The following is a 24361-nucleotide window of genomic DNA, read 5'->3' as shown; positions in this document are numbered from 1 at the left end:
AGTTAAACATCATATTCCTTTAGAGAACTAGCAACAGTAGACATATTAATAGTGCTAGGCACTGTTCCTAATATATCAGGACCCACATTAAAACCACTGCTGAAGTCTAGAAATGGTCATAACAAATCTTTCAACCTTACAGCATAAAAGTCAGTTGATAATTTCTTTGTCTAACACCTAATAAAATTCATTCTTCCAAAATTGTGGAAAAGCTAAGCACAGTCCTCCCTTATTATAAAGTTTCCTGTTACAAGGTTGCATGGTTTACACATATGTTATACTTTATTATTGAAAAAAAGTCCTCCTTATAACACCCTCTTTGTTGTAATACTCAACATACTTTGCCTCCGGGCTAGATATATAATGAAAGCAAAATGAATTCAGACAGATTGTTGAGGAAAAAAAGCTAGTTTCTTTTTAGTATTCTTTCTAAAGTCTTTTTTCTTTCCTTGTAGCTTATCATCATCTCAACATTTTGTTTCTACTTAACATTTTCCTTTTCTTTTTACATAGTTCCCTTGGTAAATGAAAGATGATAGATTGTTAAAAACAGTTTGTACCACCTTGGAAACATGCACTTTTAATATACAAATCCTGCCTTCCAAAACCTTATATAAATTTCATCTTTAGGACAATGAACTATATAGGACTTAATCAACCAGCTGAAAAAAGCCATATGAAATCTTAATTTTCCACTCACACATTTTATGTTCACAGTCTCCTAAAATCATGATATAACTTTCCAAATTAAATTTAGGATTACATCTCAGTTATTGTTTCCATATTAAATAGTACTGTCTTATTTTAGCAAAGATCTAGAAATGCTGATTTAAAAGGTTCATGTTCGCAAATTTCAATAAAAGAAAATTTGATTTTAAAATCCAGCTCACTTTTAACTTAGGTAGAAACATAATTGAAATAGTAATATAATATAGGTGAACTTGTTCTGATGCCAAGCTTTACCATTTCTGATATTCTAAGTTAGCCAGAAGTGACTGAAATTATGTACAATATGAAATACTGAAGATACAAATTTAGTATCTTTGAAGGTTGAGGTAAACACATATAATATGATTCTTCTACAAAAAGCATGCCTACCAATATTAGAACTCTATTCTCAATATTCTTGGGTGTCATAAAATTTTATAACAGTAAAAAAGATTGGGAATTTTTTAACAGTATAATTTAAAAATCATTTTACACTTGTATGATACTTATATTTTTGTATTGTCCACATAAATAATTATATAAAGATCTTAATAGCTTTATTCATATTGGCCAAAAACTGAAAACTACTCAAAAGTCCATCAAAAAAACCTCCTTAAATTTTATATATCTAGTATATCCTATAATCAGAGTACCAGTGTACTTTAAAAATATATTTGACATGCTAGTAGTCAACACAAGCAGTTGCTTTTCATATTAAGCATTAATATGTATCTTTATTTTGTGCTACAGAATTTAAACCTCAAAGCAAGTTTCCATGTAGAGACTGGAAAAGGGTGGCTGAATCAACTTAATTTAAGAGAGACCCGGGGGAAGGGCAGATTGTTCATTTCTCATGGCAATGTGTTGTGTAGATGCATTTTTGAAACTGCTGGAAGCCTTTATATTGCAGTGTCACTTGAATAAAGTAGTTCATGGTAGCCATTTTCCTTCTCAATTGAGTAGGATATTTAACAGCTTCATTACTCCACTGTTTAAAAAGAGACCACGATGAACTATATATATGGATCAAAAATGGTTGTCAAATCCTATCAAGACCACCACATTTAACCATCTTGTCAAAGGCAGTGCTGACCACAAGCATCACCTTAAAGCTTTTCCAGTCTTGGCATTTAGCTACCATGAAAGAAATTATTTTTTTTTTCAAACAACACTAAGAAACCTCAAATTTTTTTAGTCTTTCCCTCTCTTAGCAATAGCAGGCAAGGAGGTATTTAACCAAATTTTGATAGTGTATGTATAACGGGAATCAGAACTCACCTTTTAGAAAAAGTAACAACTTTAAATGATCATGTAAAAAACCAATCTGCAGACTACTGGGAACTCTCTTTATAACCTTCCCCCAGGAACTAAGGGTTTTATGCAACATAACATACAGGAAATCACTATTTGAAAGTAACATTATTTTATAGGTCTTGGACCAGAGATTTTATAAATGAATGCCATGTATATGAGAAAACTCAGCACAGGATGAGAGTCAATCCTATTATCCCCTTGATCTTCCGACTTCTCACTGTGGATCCATAAAGGATCTTAAAAACAAATGAGGGAAGTTCTCCAATATAATAAAACACCTACACTTTAATGCCTAGGCAAGGAACGGGAGCCAGTACACCACAGAGATTCTTCTCTAACATTACGCTCTAACATTTCAACCACATGTATGAGAAAATAAGGGCCATATGGTTCACTGGTGAGACAAGGGCTATCAAAACATTATCCATTGATTCCCTGTGAGGAAAACAGCGTTAATCTTTTATTAGCACTAACACCCCCACACAAAAAAAGCAAGGCTGTGTTCTGGCTGTTCATTCACCCCAGCTGAGCATATCAGTTCACTCTCTGGATGGCAATCAAAGAAACCAGACAGCTTTGGGAAGCACAGCCTCTCAGCAACCACATGTGGCCACTAATACATTTTCTTGGCAGATAAGAAAAAGGCTCCAGTTCAGACAATTAGAAGTTATTTGAAGGCTGAGGATCTGATTATCTAGGATTGTCTCAAGATGTAGCAAAACCTCAGAGTGGGAAGGATGCTTTTTTTTTAATTTTTTAAAATAAAAATTAAAAAGATGTGGCAAAAGGTGACTGACTTATCCTTCAGTTCACTATTTTCTTTGGCAGGACTTTTATTCCAAAGAATTCATGAATTTTTATTTATGTGACAATATAATCCCATACAAGCTTATAGAAGTCATTTTATGATTTAAAAAATATTCCACTATGCTCATATATATTATTGATAAAAATCCATTCACTTCCTTTACTAACAATTATAGTCCAAACATACTGAACCTTTTATATACAGTATTTTTTTCCACCTCAGTCACAAACGTGAGACTACTGTGCTGTCAGACCTTATAATCTATACCATGCCGATATTATATCTAGACTCTGACATTAAATTTTCCTTGGTAAAAATTCTACTTTTCTGAACTTCCATTTGGCTGAAAAAACAATCAAAGTAGAAAAATTGGAAGAATTAAAGGAAAATGAATTTTCACAGGACACAGAGAGAAAAGTGTTACAGATGAAAAGATGTGTCTTTTACACTAAATATTAGAGAATTTAAGTAATTTTTTAAAACAAAAACATTTTGATTTGTGGACATTATCACAAATACTCGATAGTTCTGAATACCACATTCCAAGCTAAAAAGTAGGAAGAGTAATCTATAGAAACACAGTTGCAATTAGATAAGACAGTGTATTTCTACTAGATAACTTACATACAATATGCTGCATCACCAGCATATTGAGAAATAATGTGACTAAGGGTGAACCCAGGAGGCCCAAGTTACTCACCCTCACTTTACCACTATGGGAGACAGTGACCACAATAACCCATGCCTTGTAATAGATACTTTAACATGTTTGTTAAAGAGGAAAATAAAACTTAGAAGTTGGCTAGAATAATGGAACTGAGCTAACGTGTTCTAAAAAAATAACCCCAAAGTCTAAAGTATATAACACATCAGCCCTGCCCAATCAAATGTCTATTTTGGTTCAATCATTCAACAAATACTAATTAAGCACCCACTATGTGCCAAAGACTGTGAAAGACACTAGATATGCAGTGATGAACAAAAGACACAGTCCCTGCCCTCAGGAAGCTTATAGAAAAACCTCCCTCTCATTCCTTTCTCAGAACACATAGACCTTCTCTCTAACTAGCAAGGCAATTAAATAACAGTTACTATATTAGGAAGAACATGAGCTTTGGAATCAGATAGCTCTGGGTTCAAATCAGATAGCTATGCCTGGATGTGTCTGGAGAAACACCTCTATCTCTCTGATCTCCAGTCTCCCAGTATGAAAAAATGGTGATTATGTTATCTCACTGGGCTAAATGCAATACCACAACATATAGAAGAGAATAAATACTAGCTCTCTCTCCACATAGTCTTCTCTATAAATAAATATAAAAATTCCTGCTAGATAATCAAACTCCAGGAAACAGAAACATCAAAATTCTGCATGGAAGAGAAGTTTCTAAGCTTAGAAGAAATAAAGTGTACAAGAAAAGAATGATCTGACCACATTAAAACACTTACACAGTTTAAAAGCCAATAACAATCTGGAAAAAAGATATTCACATCAAATACAATGAAATTAATCTGTACTAAATAAGTCTACCAGAATTATTCAAACAACTGAACTGCTGAATCCACAGGAATTTTTATGATGAACATTCGTTTTTCAAATCCAGCATTGGGATTAGTTTTAAAGACCCTTTAAAAAATGTAACTTCGTGGATTAAACAAATAAATAAGTAAATTATAGAAAATAGCAAACATACACCAATGGCAATGAAACCAAAGAAAGAACACAATTTCATACCACAATCTTTAAAATATGGTGACCATAAAGCAGATGTTTCCAAGAATCTTCAGGGCTGGACTTGGTGCATTTTGTGAAGCTGCTAAGACCAAACTCCACATAAGGAGAAGGAGGGGTGAGGCTGTGAATAAACAAAATTCTGAAAATTTCATTAAAACTCTCAAACTTATAGGAAGACAAATCCAGGAAGGGGAGGGGAGATGTAGACAGCCCAGAGAAATGGAAATGCCCATAATACCATAAGTTCTACCTTTACCACATTCCTTCTGGTCAGAAAAGAAAAATACAGGTTTTATCATTTTGGTATTTTTTCTGCAAAAAGAAAAAAGCAGGAAAGGCCATAGACCATAAAAAATAGCAGCCAAGCTAAATAAATATCTCCAGCAATTATGATGAGTAGAAGAAGTGGAAGACAGGCGAGAGGAGGAATTGCCATGTGAAGCCTCACACACACCCACAGAGGACCAGAAGAAAAGTAGGGGGTGGCGAATGGAAACAGCTTCTAATGAAATACAAACAAGGGAAGCAACAAATGGCACTGACTCAAGGAAAACTGATGAATAGTAAGAGAGAAGATCCAAAATCTAAGAATATCTCTCAGCCTTCCAAGATAACAGGTTACAGACCAACCAGGTAGTGTGACAGTAATTCAAGATGCTTAGCAAAATCACAAAAGAGAGGGTTGAAGCCAAATCCTACAGTAAGGCTGCTACAGACAACCCTTCTTCCTCCCCATGTCTTCTCCACTGCCCCTAGATAGGTGATAAGCAGACACACTGCATGATATCCAACCGTCAAAACAGTACGTCAGGAAGGAAAACAAACTCCTCTCTGATTGGGTAGGAAAGAAGGCAAGAAAAATTCACCAGCACCATAAAAAAGCAAACAGGCCCAAACAGAGTGGGCCAAGCTAAGCTTGATTGCTCAAGCAAGGTAAAGAGGCTGGCCTGGCAAACCCACAAACATACTACAAAAAAAAAAAAAAAAAAAGGCAGAGAGAGGGACAGGGGAAGACAATATGCGAAAGACAGATGAAGAAAAACAGAACCAAGAATCAGAACAAAGGTCTCTAAAAACATTTCACACTACTGAGCAATTTAATAAGAATATGAATTAAACAAAACAAACACACAGTGACAAAGTGATATGGGAGGCTAAATAACTAAAACAACAAAAAAAAGAACCCAAATAAAACCCTAACAGACAGATATATAGATATATATAGGAGATACCACATTATAATTGAGGGGCAGTTTGTTAACAAGTGAAAAATGGTTATGGTATCATTTACCAAATCTCCAACAACCAGTGGGTCATGTGACCACTGGGTCACAGCAGCCCAAATCCACATAATATGGATAGGATGTAAAAGGGATAGATCTAAAATGACTGTAAGAGACTACTTGCTATGGTCTGAACGTCATCCAAAATTCCTGTGTTGAAAATTAATTCCCATTGTAGTGGTATTAAGAGGTGTGGCCTTTTGGGAAGTGATTAAGTAATGAGAGCTTCACCCTCACGAATGGATTAGTGCCTTGTGAAAGAATGGAGGGAAGTAGCTTAGGCCCTTTGCTCTTCTGCTCCTCTGTTCTTCTGCCATGTGAGGACACCAAGGTGGTGCCATCTATGAGGAACAGGCCCTAGCTGCACACTGAACCTGCTGGCACCTTGATTTTGGACTTCCCAGCCTCCAGACCTGTGAGAAATAAATGTCTGTTCTTTATAAATTACCCAGTCTCAGGTGTTTTGGTATAGCAACACAAATGGACTAGGACACTACTACGTGTCAGGAAATCTCAGGTTTAATGTAACGAAAGTCATTTAAGAGCATTATTCCAAGTATATAGACTGAAAAAGTAACCTGAAAAGCAAGTTAGAAAGAATAAGCAGAAGCTTATGTGCAGTTCAAGAGGTCTTTCCCCAAATATAAAATGTGCACAGTTTTTATATTATTCTATATATTTTTGCCATCTTAAAGGAAAGACAAGTTTTGATTTCAAGTGCACGAATTGCAGGTGAAATGTATCATCACTAAATATTTAGGAATATCTTATAATATGCCACTTTTCCTATTTGCAGCTTGACCCAAATCACGCAGATTTTTTTCTGTCTTCTAGTAAATTCATATATTTTAATACAAAATAAACACCAATATTGAATAAATTACTCAACTGACTTCAAGATATATGCATATAAAGTAAAGGCTTTTCCATTTAACATTTATTGTCATAACTTGCTTGCATTCCATTATACAGCACCAGACTTGACATGATAAACATGCTTTTCACTGGTTGGGCCCTTTAGGTGGTAAGATGACTAAATTCCAGAAACTGTAAAATTACTCTAAAATTACTCTGGGTTAGCTCAAGTTGAAACATTCTGGATTATATTCTACTGTCCACATATATGTTTTCAGTGGTTGCGTTTGGGAGGTGGTGCTTAATCATTTACTTTTTTTTTTTTTACCGGTACATATGTTTTAAATATGCCTCTGTGAACAAGACTACTTTTATAACAAAAGTATATACATCCTCATGTGAAGAATACTGAAAGTGAGGAAAAGATAAAGTAAAAATCATAACTTACATTATTTCAAGTTTCAATCTCTTCTGTAAATAATTTGAGACATGCCCCCGAATTTAAATATCTATGCATACCAAGCCTAAAATCATGACAAATGATTTTGCAAAGCACTCAATTAAATTCAATTACAACAAATCCTCAAAATACACACAAACATTTCAAGCAATTATCCCCACACACTGTACCAGAATGAGGCTGCATTCAGCCCAGGACAGAGCATATCCTTTAACTGCTTAGGCCCTGCCTTCTCCAATTCATATACACACCTGAGGGCACACTCTCAAATCACCACTGCTGGCCTCTCCTGTCAGTTCTAAGGTAGTACCACAGGGAGGTCCTAGGAGAGAAAGTGAAACCAAAAGCAAGGTGGATATTTACAGTTTTTTGGCCACCCAGCACCTATTTCACTCTCTTTCATTAATGCTACAGAACCAGGTTAAAGGTGACCCCTTTATATATTGACCCCATGTTGTTTACTTCTTCATTCAGACTGACCATTAACTCAAAGCTCACGGATACCAAATTCAAATTTTTATATCAATTGCTTTAAACATAGCCCAAATAAGGATATTTTCAGCCTGTTTTGCATACCCTGAAAAACTGCACCCAACATCCACTAGCTACAGGTAAAACAAACCCTGAGCATGTAAAAGACTGTATGTTGCTGCTGCCCTCCCCAGTCCTGCTTCTCAGCAACCTGGACACCTAAGCCCCACTCTAGGTCCTCTCTCCCCAGAAAGCTCCCCTGACCTCTGCCCCTTCTGGGTTGAGGCCACCTCACTCTCTCTGGAAGGTCTCTTGCTGTAAGGGACCTCCTCTTGAATGCAATCCTGCCAAAGCACCACGCAAATAAAGCTTATTGTGTTCTACTGCCATCTGATAGCCATGTCTTTTTTCTTGATCACCTCCAAAGTCCTCAGATTCACCACAGTTAATTATTCACTGATATTCCTCTGGAAATCCACCCCTCTTCCCTCTCCACTCTTACCCTTAGTGGTAAGAGGACTTCCCACACCTGTGGCTCAGGCTCAAGTTAATCACATTCCTTTGGTGGCAATGATTGGTTCAGAGATGGCCCAACCAGAGCCTGTGAGTTGGAAACAGACTTTTGTTGAGCCTTCTACGAGAAAGGAAGAACCTCTTTTACATGGACTAGAATGTGACAAGTAAAGATTTAAAGCTGCTATAGCCATCATGTAACCAGAAGGAAATAGCCTATCCCAGGAAATGGAAGCAAGAGATGAAAAGAGAGAAACCAGATCTGATCACAGAGAAGGCTCAAGTGACGTTAGCCAGTCAACTTCCTATTCTTGCTTAAGCCAACTGTTAGTTGCAACCAAGGGAGTCTTCAGTTTTACCAAAGACAAGGTTGGAAAGAAAACAAAAGTACATCTAAATCCACATGAAAAAGCAGAATTATGGCCTCTGCAGGAAATGGGAGGTTTGGATTTTTGACGGTAACATTTAACTCTTGAGTTGTGTGTTAACAGGTAAGCTCAAAATATAAATATCCCCATGTATCCTCTACCAAAAATACAAAAAGTTAGCCGAGTGTGGTGGCGGGTGCCTGTGGACCCAGCTGCTCAGGAGGCTGAGGCAGGAGAATGGCGTGAACCCGGGAGGCGGAGCTTGCAGTGAGCCGAGATTGCGCCACTGCACTCCAGCCTGGGCGACAGAGCGAGACTCAGTCTCAAAAAAAAAAAAAAAAAAATCCCCATGTAAAACAAAGCTCTATAATCAAGAAAAGAAATTTTTTAAAGGAAAGCAAATAAGTTTAAGATGTTGATAAAGATAAAAATTGAAGAAAGAGCCAGTCACGGTGGCTCACACCTGTAATCCCAGCACTTTGGGAGGCCTAGGCAGGCATACTGGCTGAGCCCAAGACTTCAAGACCAGCCTGGGCAACATAGCCAGACCTTGTATCTACTTTTTTTTTTTTTTTTTTTAAGACAGAGTCTCACTCTGGAGTGCAGTGGAGTGCAGTGGCTCGATCTCGGCTCACTGCAGCCTCTGCCTCCTGGGTTCAAGCGATTCTCCTGCCTCAGCTTCCTGAGTAGCTGGGACTACAGGCACATGCCACCACGCCCAGCTAATTTTTGTATTTTTAGTAGAGGCGGGGTTTCACCATGTTGGCCAGGATGGTCTTGATCTCCTGACCTCGTGATCCGCCCCCCTCAGCCTCCCAAAGTGCTGGGATTACAGGCGTGAGCCACCACACCCAGCAACTATTTTTTTTTAATTAAAAAAACATTGAAGAAAGAACCAGATGGTGGTGTAATAGTGATAATTTCTAATAAAGTATTTCTTTTCCTTTTCTTTTTTTTCCAAAGGGTCTGACTTTTAATCTCATGAAGTATTAAATAGGCTTTTTCCCCATAAACCACATATTTATTATGAAAAGAAGGCAATAATTCAACAGGGCTATAAGGCACAAATTACACGATGAGAAACAATGTTTTAAATTATAGGCACATCATAATCAAAACAACATAATTTTAAAAATAAAAATGGGGCCAGGCACAATGGCTCATGCCTATAATCCTAGCACTCTGAGAGGCTGAGGCAGGCAGATCGCTTGAGCCCAGGAATTTGAGACCAGCCTGGGCAATATGGCAAAACCCCGTCACTACAAAAAAAAACAAATAGCCTGGCATGGTAGCGCACATCTGTAGTCCCAGCTACTCAGGAGGCTGAGGCAGGAGGACTGCTTGAACTCGGGAGGCAGAGGTTGCAGTAAGCTGAGATCGTACCACCGCACTCAGCCTGGGTGACAATGCTAGACCCTGTCTCTAAAACAAAAAAATAAAATAAAATAAAAGTAAAAATGTATTCAGGTCAAATTTTTTCAGCAAAATACTATCTATGAAAGGCATTTGGTTTATCAGATTAAGATTTCATGATGTGTTCTCAAAGACTTCTCCCCCCCTTATAAAACATGTTCCCCTCTGGCTATGGCTTTAATTGCACCTACCTTCATGCCCAAACCCCTTTACAAAGCACCTTTCCTTTGGGATTTCCATTTCTTCTCTATGAATTCCTCATTCCAGTGCAACATGACCAATGTTCCTACCCTTCTGTTAAAATTATTCTCCCTAAAATCACCAATGACTTGCAAATGACCAAATCCAACATTTTCTTTCCAATACTCCAGCTGCTTAACCTCTGAACTCTCAAGTCCTTCAGTGCCTCTTGGAATCTCTCCCTTCCCTCTCCTTCCATGACACCATGCTCTTCTGTCTCTAAATTTATATTCCTTAATCTCTGTGCTAGTTCCTCTTCTTATCCCTACCCTTAAATTTGTCATTCTCAACAAACATAGTCATAGTACTCTTGAAGAGCACTATATCCTTCTCCATTAAAGATCAGCTGGTAGCTAAAGAAAATAATTGTCCCTTACTGAGGGCTTTATGCTATAAGTTAAAAAGTCAATTTAGTAGCCTAAAAATGGCAAGGTTTTTAAAGCACTATAAAGTCTGAAAAGTAATCTTCTTGAGAGGAACAAACTATACCAGAAGGAATTTGAATGGTTCAACCTTTGGGCAACAAAGGCTAAAGACCATACTGAAGACCATAAAATTGAAACTGGGAATTACTAATCTCTGGATTAAAGAGGATAAAAATGAAGGGCTGGAATAAAAAAGGTAACAGCACACTCCCCACTCTCATTTACTCCCCTCGCCCCCGCCCCTCCCCCCACCCTACCCCACCCCCACCCGCCACACACACACACACACACACACACACACACATTCACTCAACTACAGGGAGCTGCTCTAATCCTAGGGCATCGTTTTGCACATATTCATCTCTATCATGATTTGCCTCATTATTTTATAGTTAACCCTTCATCTTTATTACTCCTAGATTGTGAGCTACTTGAGAACATAAACTGTCTTTTTTCTTTTTTCGAGACGGAGTCTCGCTCTGTCGCCCAGGCTGGAGTGCAATGATGCAATCTCGGCTCACTGCAACCTCCGCCTCCTGGGTTCAAGCGATTTCTCCTGTCTCAGCCTCCCAAGTAGCTGGGATTACAGGCACCCACCACCGTGCCCAGCTAATTTTTTTGTATTTTAAGTAGAGATGGGGTTTTACCACGTTGGCCAGGCTGGTCTCGAACTCCTGACCTCAAGTCTCCGCCCACCTCAGCCTCCCAAAGTGCTGGGATTACAGGCATGAGCCACCATGGCCAGCCCATAAACTGTCTTTTCCTTATCTGTCTATTCCAAGAAAACTAACACAGTGCCTGGGCACTCAGAATTCTTAGTAAATATGCATCGAATGGATGAGGGGATGGACAGACGGAGGGACAAAGAGAGATGATGTAAGGGAGGAACAACACACCAGACTTGCTTCAGTCCCTGAAAGTGCCCAAGCACCTACAACAAACCAACAATTCCTTCCCAGTGTCCCTGTTACACACTTGAAAGATTCCTATATAAGGTTCATCATCTTTTCACAGCCAACAAGGTAAATTTCGGGTAACTGAGGACTTTGGGTCAGTTACTACAGGGACTCTAAATCAGACTATCAGTGAAAGAAATTCTAGCTCAAATATCTTGATACTACATAGACTACAAGAAGTATCTTATTTTACTACGTTAAGTATATGCAGCTGTTGACCTTAAAACAATATTATTTTCTTCACCACTGGCTTTCTGTGAATCAATATTAATGCTGTCTTTTTCCAAATATTATTTTGAAATGGCAAGTTTGTCTTAACTAGGTAAAATACCATGTTAACAACCATTGGAAATTTTAGTAACACAAAGAAACAAAAGCAAGTGAAAATCTGGCAAAAATATCATTTTGTTCTTTTTTCAAAAACAAGTAGAGTTCAAATTACCAAAACAAATAAATTCCACCAATATTACTAACATATCTTAAATCTATTAAAATCTACCTTTTCAAAATTGATTTAGTATATGTCCAAACTGTAACTTGTTTGTCTATGCTTATGCTACTCACTAAATTTTGCAAGCATTAATTTGTCAAGAGCATAAAAAACAAAGATAAACTAATATTTTTTTAGAACCCAAAATCACATATTCCTTCAAAAAAGCAGCTTGGATTTAAATTTTAAAAAACAACGAACATTTTTAACTTCAAACACACTTCCCCTCTGCAAAAATAAATAAATAAAAGCCCAATACAACCAATTAATATTATAATTTTTGGAGGAATTTTAAATTTTTTTGGACTTTTCTTACAAACCAAAGCACCAACCAGAAAAATAAAACTGAAAAAGCAAACATACGACCCAGAAGTTAACATATTTCCCATAATCTATGAAGAATCAAAGATATGCACTTAACTTTAGCCAAACCAAACTACACTCCATTCTGATAGGAAAGTTTTTTCTGAATGGGGGAGGAGGTAAATTCACTCACAGCCCAATCAAGGAGGCAGTTTAGTGTGACTAATACCAGAAGCCTCTAGATGCAGACAGGCTGGGTAGAAATCCTCCCTCCACCACTCACAGTTACTTTTTCAACCTGTAAAAGCTCTTAGAACACTGCCTGATACAAAATAAGCATTTTGCAGACATAGGGCTATAGCACACCTCTAGATCACTGCAGCTTAGCATTACCTGGAATATTGTCAGAAATTCAGCATTTAAGGTCCAATTTCAGACTTACAAGAATCCGCATTTTAATCACGATCCCCTTATAATTCAAATGCAACTTAAAAGTTTTAAAAAAGTTAAAAGTTTGAGAAGCACAGCTAGAAAGCGCTTTTATATTATATTCTGTTATCTGTTATAATTAACTGTCTTTTAAAAACCCACCCTGTTGTGCAACTCAAAGAAGTTACATTTATTTTTAATAAAAGACAAAGCATTATTATGGGATCAACATTCCTCCATTAGTGATTTCTTGCCATACCTTATTCTAAAGCAGCAGCAACTAAGGCCAAAAGTTATAGAGGACTGCCATCTAGTGTTAGTTCATTTTGACGCACACACAAAATACTGCACACCTCTTCTCCCACTGCCTTTCCATAATTTAAATAACACATTTGCTTAAAACTGTGTTGGGCTTTAGTTTTGTTTAATTCCTTTATTGAGACATGACATGAATACCAAACAATAATTCCATAAGATGCCATATGAAATAGAGGAAAGTAGAAAACAAGGATTTTTAGGTTTCTTTTTTAAATAACATCAACTCCAGGGAAGCTTTCCAATTAAAAGAATCACCCACTCACTACTGGAAAGGTGCACACTAAATATACATTAAAGACATCAGGCTTAGAAAGTGGGCTTTCTTATGAAATGTACAAGTCTTGGAGTCTTACTTTCTTCTACCTAAGTTCTGAACTTTTTGCAATTTATACAGTATTTAAGGACTAAAGCTACTTTCATATTGGAAAAAAATATTTTACAAGTGTCTGACTTAATAACTCAACCTCTCCACTCTATCCTAAGGAAATAATCAGAAATGTAGATAAAGATTTATGTAAAAAGATGTTCATTCATAGCTTTGTCAGAAGCATCGGAACCAAAGCGACTCCACCGTGAATAGGGACTGGGTAAAATGAGGCTGAGACCTACTGGGCTGCATTCCCAGAAGGTTAGACATTCCAAGTCACAGGATAAGACAGGAGGTTGGCACAAGGTACAGTCACAAAGACCTTACTGATAAAACAGTATGTAGTAAAGAAGCCAGCCAAAACCCACCAAAACCAAGATGGCGACCAAAGTGACCTCTGGTTGTCCTCACTACTCATTATCACTAATTATAATGCATTAGCATGCTAAAAGACACTCCCACTAGTGCCATGTCAATTTACAAATGCCATGGCAACATCAGGGAATTACATTGTATGGTCTAAAGAGGGGAGGAAACCTCAGTTCTGGGGAAATTGCCCACCCTTTTCCTGGAAAACTCATAAATAATCCATCCCTTGTTTAGCATTTAATCAATAAATAATCATAAAATAGCCAATCAGCAGCCCTCAGGGCTGCTCTGCCAATGGAGTAGCCATTCTTTTATTCCTTTACTTTGTTAATAAACTTGCTGTCACTTTACTCTATGAACTTGCCCTGAATTCTTTCTTGTTTGAGATCCAAGAACCCTGTCTGGGGGTCTAGATCAGGACCCCTTTCCAGTAACATTCTCCTGGTGAACCATGAAAGAACGATACGAAGGAGACTCCTGACCCAAAGGAAACAGAATGCAGAACCCATTGGCCGACTATGGTTAAGTGGTGGATTAGAGGCCCAACTTAGAAGATTTAAAGTCTCTCCTAAGACAGAATGGGTTAAATGACCCTCTTAATAAAAAGTAAGGATTCTCGACAAATTTGGGTTCGAGACCCAACTTAGGAAGGTTAGAGTTCTTCTTAAGATTTAGGCGGTTAGAGGCCCCTCTCAGTAAAATCTCTTGGTTAAAAATGAATTTGGCATTATGGGATGTTAACCACTATTTTCTTTGGATTAATCTGCCTTGCGCTCTTTGCTGATGGCTGTGGGGGGATTAGGCATGTACAGGATCACCGGACATGGGGAGCTTCTTTTCTCCCCAAAAGGGGAAACTTGAAAGCTGATGGGACTGCTGGAAAAGATCCCTTAGCAAATTACAAGCAACCACCTGAACTTTGTTTAGTGTCACTGCAATGGTGGGTCTTTCTCTAGCTTCCCCTAAGCTCCTCGTCTTCCCACCCCACTGCAGGCAATGCTTTTCTCCCTTCCCTTGCCTTTCTTCTCTCACTCTCTCTCTCTCTCTCTCTCTCTGTGTGCAAACTGCTTATAGGTGTGGTAAAAATCACTACCTCTTGCAATATTTTAATTAATGAGAAAAAGGATTTGTGAGGCTGGTCTTAAGCTATAGCAACTCTGGGGAACTTTCTGCTATAAATGTTTTTTACTATATTCTGTCATAAAGAGGAGTACCTTAAGATTGAACATGGGCTTAGGACACATGGGCTTAGAACAAGCCTGCTGTTCAAGCTAGCCCAGCAAACTAGTCAGCTACAAACTTTGCTGCAGGTTCCTGAAGCAAACAAACAAAAAAAAACTGAATGAGGTTCCCCGCTTGTCTTGTTTTATGTCCTTGGGAGCTTGACCTTTTAAGTACGTGGCAGTACTTTCTCTTGTTCTCAGCCATCTGGAGGACAGGAATTTTGGAGTTTATGTCAGAGCTCTAAAAATTATCTCAAGCAGTTAAAAGCTTTTGCAAGCTCAAAATTGACTGCTCTAGGCTCTTTCTGGGAAGGGCAATGGAAACTGTCCAGTGCTGTAGCTTAGTAACTAAGGCTTATTGGTTTCACCTGTGAGGTTACTTTTGGTAACATTTAAAAGCCAGAAATATTGTCTGTTTGGCCTGGTTAAAGTAGGGTAATAAGAGGTTTATAAGGAATTTTTTTTAAGGAGCACTATGGTTAAAAGTCAGCTTACTTAAAAGCAGATATCCAAGTTATACGTACATTTTAAAGGCCTTTATGTTTTTTTTTCCTCTTCGTGGATTGTGTTTTTCTGGAAAAGGGGTTTTTTCTTCTCAGTCAACTGAATTTTCTCCATTTTGTCTTCTTGACATTCTTGATGCACACGAGAGGACCTAAGATAATATTTAACAGCTTGGGACACCTTGGGAAAAACAGAGGAGGTGCTGCAGACTCCATTTTGGGGGGAAAAAAAGACATCTGTTTCCCTCGTGGAACCCTAAGAATTGAAAATAGATCCCTCTCACATTTTTTACTTTTGGGGGTATTAGAAATTACTTCATATTATGCGAGAGATTTCATGCGTAATAACTAGGTAGGAAATACACTTTTGGGGACAGCTAATGGAAGTTATGGGGGGACACTCAGCTCTTTCCATGTTTGGATCAGAGAAGCATGCTCTTGGCCACCTAGAAGGTATGGAAATGTCCCCATCCCCTACTGAGAGATAAGACTCCCATGGGAAATGGGCTGCTACCCATCCCTTTTTTGGGATCCAGGATCTGGTATAAAAATGGAACCCTTAATTTTGGGGGATCTGTTTCGCCTTCCACCTATACCTGTTTATTAAGGCTAGAAACTGAATGCTTTAAAGGGAAACTTAGAAACTGGCAAATGAAAAATCTTACAACTATTGGATCTTCTTTTGTCTGTGTATTTATATGTGTTGTGTGTGTGATGTTTATATATATCTATATAAGTTCTGATTAATTGGTTTAAAAATAATAGGCACTTAAATATTATAAAAAAATTAAGACTATAATGCCTTTTAGTTCACGTGACTTAAGTAATCTTTGGGAAATAAAAACACAGCTTTAAAGATTATTAGTAAAATAAAGACACTTGGTCTAAATTAGGCAGGTCAGATATTAGGTTTGATAAATGCTTTAAGGTCATAAACTGCTTCTTTGACTCTTGAAAATTGTTCAACTTAACTGCTGTGGAGCCGTTAGATTTTAAGTAAGGCCTGGGGACATGTGGAGTTAGCCACATCCCCTAACTATACATGAGAGTCACACCTTATCTGCACTTCTGTCTGGTGCCCTAGGCTCCACACCTAGTACATAATTAAAATCATGTATTTACCAGATTTTTCACCAAAAGTAAGTTTCTAAGAGTTAACAGTGTAACATATAATTGAGACTACTAGAGAAAGAGTTTTATATGCAAGGTGTGTCAGGAAAATGAAATGTGCTTTTGAAAAAAGATTATAAGAAGGCATGGAAATGTGGATTTTTTTTTCTTTTTGCCTAGTTTAGAGGGTTAAAGGATAGTTTTTTGTTTTGTTTTGTTTTGTTTTGTTTGAGACGGAGTCTCGCTCTGTCACCCAGGCTGGAGTGCAGTGGTGCGATCTCGGCTCACTGCAAGCTCCGCCTCCTGGGTTCACGCCATTCTGCCACCTCAGCCTCCCGGGTAGCTGAGATTACAGGCACCCACCACCATGCCCAGCTAATTTTGTTTTTGTATTTTTAGTAGAGACGGGGTTTCACCGTGTTAGCCAGGATGGTCTCGATCTCCTGACCTCGTGATCCGCCTGCCTCGGCCTCCCAAAGTGCTGGGATTACAGGCGTGAGCCACCACGCCCGGCCAAGGATTGTTTTAAGTTAGATGGGAAAAAGCCAAAGGTTTGAACAAGTTGTGGAAGGTTGGTGAAAAATTAATCTTGTAAAAGAAATTCTGTGTGTGAACATATCGGCTAAAGTTAAAGGTGTATTATTCCATTTTTCCATAAATTGAACATTGGAATAAAAGCACAACAGGCTTTTCTTAGAGCACTGATCTGCTTTTTAACAACTACAACAAAAAAAGGTGTAAAGGGTTATATGCAAGGTTTATAAGAATCTTATCTTATGATCAAACTAAAATTGGATAGATTTGTCTATAAGGTTTTATTAAGAATTGGTTGACATCAATAGTGTACTAATGCAAAGGTGAAAATTGGCTTTCTGTCTCGAACAGCATTTCCAAGTTATATTAAAAATAATAAAAGATTTGGCTGGGCATGGTGCCTCACATCTGTAATCCCAGCACTTTGGGATTTCCAGGTACAAAGAAGTATATAGAAATGTCTCACCTATTATTCTCTAGAGGTATGCTAGGGCTGTTAGGTTCAATTTCTCATATTAGAAGTGTCCCACCTATCCTTTAGTTCCACCTGCAGAAGGCTCCTTGCACCCTTCTTGCACTTCGTCCACTCTGGCAGCTCCCCTGGGGGAGATCTAAGTCCCTCTTGGCATCGGCATGCTGGTACAAATCCTATGACAGGATCCTCCCTAAGCCATATGAGGTGACCACGGAATCGCAGATAGGACCCACTCACTCAGCACAGCAGTAGTACTTTGTACCATTCACACAAGCAGCACCTCAAGTAGGAGTGCTTGTGATCATTCACATACACATTCAGCACCCTGAATATCCCGACCGCCAAGGAAATACTTTGTCGCCTTTATGATGTTTCTTACCTCGCTCTGTGCACAGAGTTACCTGGTCGCCACGGTATGTGAGGATCCTTTTCCCCAGGTTGCTAGCCTGGGTTTATTTGTCACACCAGGTGGATCCCCAGTCTCTCACCCTGAGGCTACCGCAACAAGGCAGTGGGACATTTCTCCCTACAAGAGGCAACTGGAGACCTGTTCTCCAGGAGAGAATGGGCTCCCATACGGGCCACCAGATTGTTACAAACAAATGCTTGTCCTCGGTGCCGAAAAGAAGAACTAGTGCTCAAAGAATTTTCTCGGCCAGGTGCAGTGGCTCACGCCTGTAATCCTAGCACTTTGAGAGGCTGAGGCAGGCGGGTCACGAGGTCAGGAGATAGAGACCATCCTGGCCAACATGGTGAAACCCCATCTCTACTGAAAATACAAAAATTAGCTGGGCGTGGTGGCATGTGCCTGTAATCCCAGCTACTCGGGAGGCTGAGGTAGAATTGTTGAACCAGGGAGTCGGAGGTTGCAGTGAGCCGAGATCACACCGCTGCACTCCAGCCTGATGACAGAGCGAGACTCCATCTCAAAAAAAAAAAAAAAAAATTCTCAGCAAGGCAATTTTACATCTATAGAAGGGTGCAACTTGCAGATGGAGCAATGGTGAGAGTACACCTGAACAAGGGAGGGGAAGGGATTCTTATTCCTGACACAGGTACCCCCTACTGCTGTGTTGTTCCCCTATTGGCTAGGGTTGGACCACACAGTCTAAGCTAATTCTGATTGGCTATTTTAAAGAGAACAGGGGTATGAGCCAGAGTGGCGGGGTGAGCAGTTTGGCAGGAAAGACGGTTATGGAACAGGTAACTAAAGGTGACTTAGGTCAGAGCGGGTGACCAGGGCTGACTGAGGTCAAAGCAGGCAACCAGGATAAGTCAGGACAGAGCAGGTGACCAGGGGAACAGATGTGAACTACTGATTAAAACTGGTGGAAAAGGCTATTTACTGAAACTACAAGGAAGTTAAGCTTTAAAATGAAGGACAAAGAACTGAACATACTGATATACTGATTCTTTGAAGAGAAATTGAGAACTCAGTGTATCCAACAGGGTTAACTTGATCTGATAATAAAATAAAAAGTACACTGCAATCTATATAATAGTGGTCCCCAACCTTTTTGGCATCAAGGACCAGTTTTGTGGAAGACAATTTTTCCACAGACCAGGAAGGGGGAAGATTTCGGGATGACTCAGCACATTACATTTATTGTGCACTTTATTTCTATTATTATTACATTGTAATATATAATGAAATAATTACACAACTCGACACAGTGTAGGATCAGTAGAAGCCCTGAGCTTGTTTTCCTGCAACTAGATGGTCCCATCTTGGCATGATGGGAGGCAATGACAGATGATCAGGCATTAGATTTGCATAAGAGCACACAACCTAGATCCCTTGCATGCACAGTTCACAATAGAGTTTGTGCTCCTATGAGAATCTCATGCAGCCAGATCTGACAGAAGGCGCAGCTCAGGCTAATGCAAGTGATGGGGAGTGGCTGTAAATACAGATGAAGCTTTGCTCACTCACCTGCCGCTCACCTCCTGCTGTGAAACCCGGTTCCTAACAGGTCATGGACCACTACACATCTGTAGCTTGGGGATCGGGGATCCCTGCTATATAACATTTGATGTGACCTAAAGAACCACTGTTATGCTATCAAAAAACACTTTTATTTGGCCAAAGCACTTTTTTCTCATGTTATAATTTTTTTATGATGTATGGAATTTAGTAATTTGCTTTTTGGAGATTCAGTAGGGAAAAGTGAATTGAAAATAGCTAATTAAACAAGGGAGGCCTAGGTTCCCTAATCAGGTCAGACATTTTTTCAAAGAACAGTAAAAATCAGTTCTAAAAGCTGAGGAAGCACTTCACTGACAGACTCTCCCCTCATCTAAATTTCTCTCTTCATCTAACTCTAGATATCTCCTTATCGTTCAAGTAATCCAAACATTCCTGTTACTCAAGCAGTCCTCCAACCTAACCAAGTGTTTTGTTTCACATCACTTCAGTTATGCAAAATATTTATTTGCACATCACCACCAAAAATATCCCTGATGCTGCTTGGTATACCCAAATTCAATTATTCCTTGTCTTTATCTGTATGTATTAATAAAAAAAAAAAACTGAGTTCACACAAATGAATAATACTTCCAAAATGAAGTCATTTTCTCATGTTGCTAAGGAAAAATACAATGCAACAGTTAAACAATGAACTCATAAAACATGAGTCCAGGAAGAGCTAAGATATTATAAAATCCCTAGTTACATGCTCTGCAGGTGGCACAGGAACATAGATACATATGCACACAGAGTCACACAATCACACAGGTAAGTGTCACCACCTGGCTTCCTATCCTCAATCCAGCACCACCAGCTCCTCTACTACCCTGTCACGGTGCAGGGAGAGAAGTTGGTTTGGAAATAAGAGCCCTCCCATGCCAACAGCAAGAGTGTACACAAGCAAGCACCAAGCCTTGGTGAATCTGGAAGCTCTGGGACTGAGTGGACACAATGAAGGTGGCCTTTGTGCTAATTAGAAAAAGACACCCCTCTGCCAAGGTGGGAGGAACCCAGTCTCACTGAGCCAGTGCTAGATAAAGGTGATGCCTTTGTGAAACACAGAAAAAGCACCCCTTCCTCTGGGTAGATTTACTCCAAGCCAGAAAGCATGGCTCGATGAGCAGGATCAAGTCTGTATTTCAGACCCACATCCCCCACTCTTCCAGCTGCCCTGTGCAGAAACGACCCACACAACCCTGTACAGCAGCCCCAGATATGGGTAGAGTGGAGAGAGGTGTTTGCAGCTTTATCCTGCCTGTAGCAGGTAGAGCAGTGACTTCCTGTCAATAAGGTCAACCATTTTTTCCACTGAGAGAGACAGTCAGGTACCACAGTTCCATCACACACAAAAAGAGCTCAGTTTCAGTCAGCTTATATATAAAAGACAAAATCTGTAGAAAAGGCAGTTTTAGAAATGTTTCTATAGACCATATAAAAATATGCTGGTTATATAAAAATCAAAGACTTCCAATGTTTAAAGGTTTTTTTTTATTATTTTGATTGGGTATTTGGTCTCCTATCCAAGTACTAACCAGGCCTGACCCTGATTAGCTTCCAAGATCAGACGATATCAGGCACATTCAGGGTGGTATGGCCATAGACTTGCTTGGGCATTTGGATACAAAGGTTTCAATAAAATGTCTATTTTAACTCTTTCTGAGAGTCAAACCACTTAATCCTCTGTTTTATATGACCAAATATTCTAAATCTGTCACTTGAAATAGCATACTCATGATTAAAAGCAAATTACCTTTTACACCACCAAATGATCCATAGGTCATATTGCAGGCTGTTCTCTGAAGATTATGTTCATACATCAATTTCATCTGACATTGGTTCCCATGTTCCACATTACCCAAGGTTCCTAAGGAAAAAAAAAAAAGGATTACTTTGTATTTGTGTACACTAAAAAACATTAATTTGTTCTCATCCACTACTCCGATTCTAAGTAATTTTAGGGAAATTATAATGGCAAAGCACTAAAATATTATGTATTGTGAAAAATTAGCATACTGATGACACACAAAGCCAGTACAGTTAAAACAATTTACATCTCAGCTAAATTACACCATTAGACAAAATATTACCCTGGGGACACTTTATATTCTATTTTTATTAGACAGATTATATCTGAGTAAAGTGTAATTATTTAAATAACAACAAAACCCTCTAATTTCAGATCTGAAATAAATAAGTTCTCTGCATTTATAAACATTAATAGAGCAAAGAAATGACTCAAAGTGTCTAAGAAAAAAAAATCCCCAACACTTTCAAGCAATTAGTGTTCCTACCCCAACTCTCAAAATATTCAAGCCCCTAATTATATTCTAATTTAATTGAGAAATTTTCTAAGCTTCCCTCAACAAGTAAATAGGAAAATGTTTTTTATTTGAAGTCTGCCAAGAAGAATCTCCTTCCAAACACAGAAAAATACTCTGCATTTAATAGACTGCATGTGCTTCACTTTCTAGTTCTTTCCAAATGAGAAAAGAGTATTTATCTGTATTTTATACATATAGAGCAAGAACATTATGATTAAAAAGTGTGTTGGAAAGAAAAAGGATTCAGAAAGCAATTTTTTCCATAAAGAAGCATCACTCATTAATCCAAAATGTAAAAGTTAAGGAAAATTTTAAATTATCATAAAGCAAATGCAATAGTCCTCAAACTGGGTAGTACTCAATCACTAAAAATATCTAAAAATATATGTATGTGTACTTATTTATTTATAAATTTATATAGGAGCATTTATTTGTTTTGGGTTTGTTTGTCCAGAAGAATTTACCAACATACACTGAGATTGTAAGAATATATTTTTATTTCCGTTTTAGAATTGAAGCACCTTAAGTTCAAAACAAATTTACAGAAATTTCCCCAAAATCATACAGTATTCAAGGTAGAGAACTGAGTATTCAAACCAGACTTTTAGAACCTAAACCAAATCTTTAGAACCAGGTACTATGTATTGTATCCTGCTGCCCAGTTGTCCACCATTTAACAACTTTCAGGGAATGTGGTCCTCGCACCCAGTAAAGATTTTACTGTCCATGGATCCTGTCAACGACAATTTCCCCAAAGAAAACAGCTTCAAGAATATGTCTTTTCCACTGCAGGGTACCAGAATATGACACCTCAAACAGGACTCTTTGGCATATGGATTATTTTGAGCAAAAGGACACAGGGAACTAGCCGGAAAAGCTCTAAAAACAGGTCGTCATTTAAAAAAAGAAATCTCCATTTATAAAAAAAAGTCTCCCTCCCTTGTACCAGGAAGAGGAGTACCCTTAGCTCTTTTCAATGGAGAAGGCCTCAACTTAAATCACCATAACAAACTTTACTAAGCAACCCTTGTTTACCACACTTTTTCTGGTCACCTTCCCATAACTTGCCTTCTGTGTACAGAAGCCCAAAACCCATTTTCTTTTATTTCACCTAAAATGCTATGTTAGCCCAAGGTCCAACTACCCTTTTGAGTCACTCCTTATGGAATATTCCTATGTGTACATGAGCAATGCATATGTTAATAAATTTCTGCTTGTTTTTCCTATTGTTAATTAGTCTTTGGCCAGTCTAATTTATAGAGCCCCAGCTGGAGAACCTAAGATAAGTAAAGATTTTTTTTTCCCTCCCTTTTGCCTTTCTCAGCCTGGCCAATCATGGTAGCTGACATTCAGCCAATCGTAGGCAGCCAACTGACCAGACCATGTTCAAGTAAGGTAAATGCTAAGCTGTCAGGAATGAAGCTGTTTCTGTACCTCACTTGCATTGTCTGTCCATAAATGTTTCCTGCTCATGTTGAAGAGCAGAGCGCTCTGAACCTCCTCTGGTGGTTGTGAGGGCTGCCCAACACCTGAGGTATTCTTTGCTCAGTTAAAGGCCATTAAATTTAAATTGTCTTAAGTTTGTCTTTTAATAGTTAAAAGAGGAAAAACTATCAGGGGAGGATTTCTTGAAGGAGAATCATTTCTACTCAGTTCCATGGTCCCCACAAATGGTTAATTAACATTAGTTTTGTTGTTTTTTTTTTTATTTTTATTTTTTAAAGACAGAGTCTCACTCTGTTGCACAGGATGGAGTTCAGTGGCACAATTTCCACTCACTGCTCTGACTCCTGGATTCAAGCAATTCTCTTGCCTCAGCCTCCTGAGTAGCTGGGATTACAGGCACCTGCCACCACACCCAGCTAATTTTTGTATTTTTAGTACAGACAGGGTTTCACCATGTTGGCCAGGCTGGTCTCAAACTCCTGACCTCAGGTGTTCCACTCGCCTCGGCCTCCCAAAGTGCTGGGATTACAGGCATGAGTCACCGCACCTGGCCAAAAATAGATTTTATATACCAATAGAATAAGAAACAAACATAAAGGCTTAAATTTGCCTGCTGACCTTGATGGAGGATGAAGGCTTTCTGGATTCTAAATGGTAGTAAAATCATTGAGGTGCCAGGAAGCTGAGGAGGAATCACAACCAAACCAGCCACATGGGTGAGGGAAACACATACGGTATTAACCTGAAGAGAGTTCTAGCCTCCAAGAAACCAGAAAGAGCAGCTCCAAGAGTCACCTGGTTTATCCCTAAAGAAATTTCAAATTTCATTCTGAACTGTTAAATCAAGTTTAGCCTAAAGCTGCCTCCTTACATATTTTAAGTTCAGCCTAAAGGTTTTTCTGTACATAATGAACTATAACATAAATGGAAGTGTAAACAGACTGTAACCTTCCCTTGT

General features: G+C 38.5%; 1 protein-coding gene and 1 pseudogene across 19 annotated transcripts in view; both read right to left on the bottom strand.

The window, feature by feature from the left end:
• BBS9 (Bardet-Biedl syndrome 9) overlaps positions 1-24361 on the bottom strand; it is a 506483-nt gene that overhangs the window by 436790 nt on the left and 45332 nt on the right. For all 19 annotated transcript variants that reach the window (NR_145412.1, NR_145411.1, NR_145413.3 and 16 more), the window contains one exon: positions 21387-21500. Coding sequence is in view for 16 of the 19 variants with exons in the window: in NM_001348036.1 (NP_001334965.1) it covers positions 21387-21500 (114 nt within the window). In the remaining 3 variants the exon portion in view is untranslated. The remainder of the gene's footprint in view (positions 1-21386; positions 21501-24361) is intronic.
• On the bottom strand, positions 21140-21238 carry RNA5SP229 (RNA, 5S ribosomal pseudogene 229; annotated as a pseudogene).

The sequence above is a fragment of the Homo sapiens genome, chromosome 7 (assembly GCF_000001405.40).
Source record: "Homo sapiens chromosome 7, GRCh38.p14 Primary Assembly".
In the NCBI taxonomy this organism is placed as follows: domain Eukaryota; kingdom Metazoa; phylum Chordata; class Mammalia; order Primates; family Hominidae; genus Homo; species Homo sapiens.
This window is presented reverse-complemented; position numbering and strand designations above follow the sequence as displayed.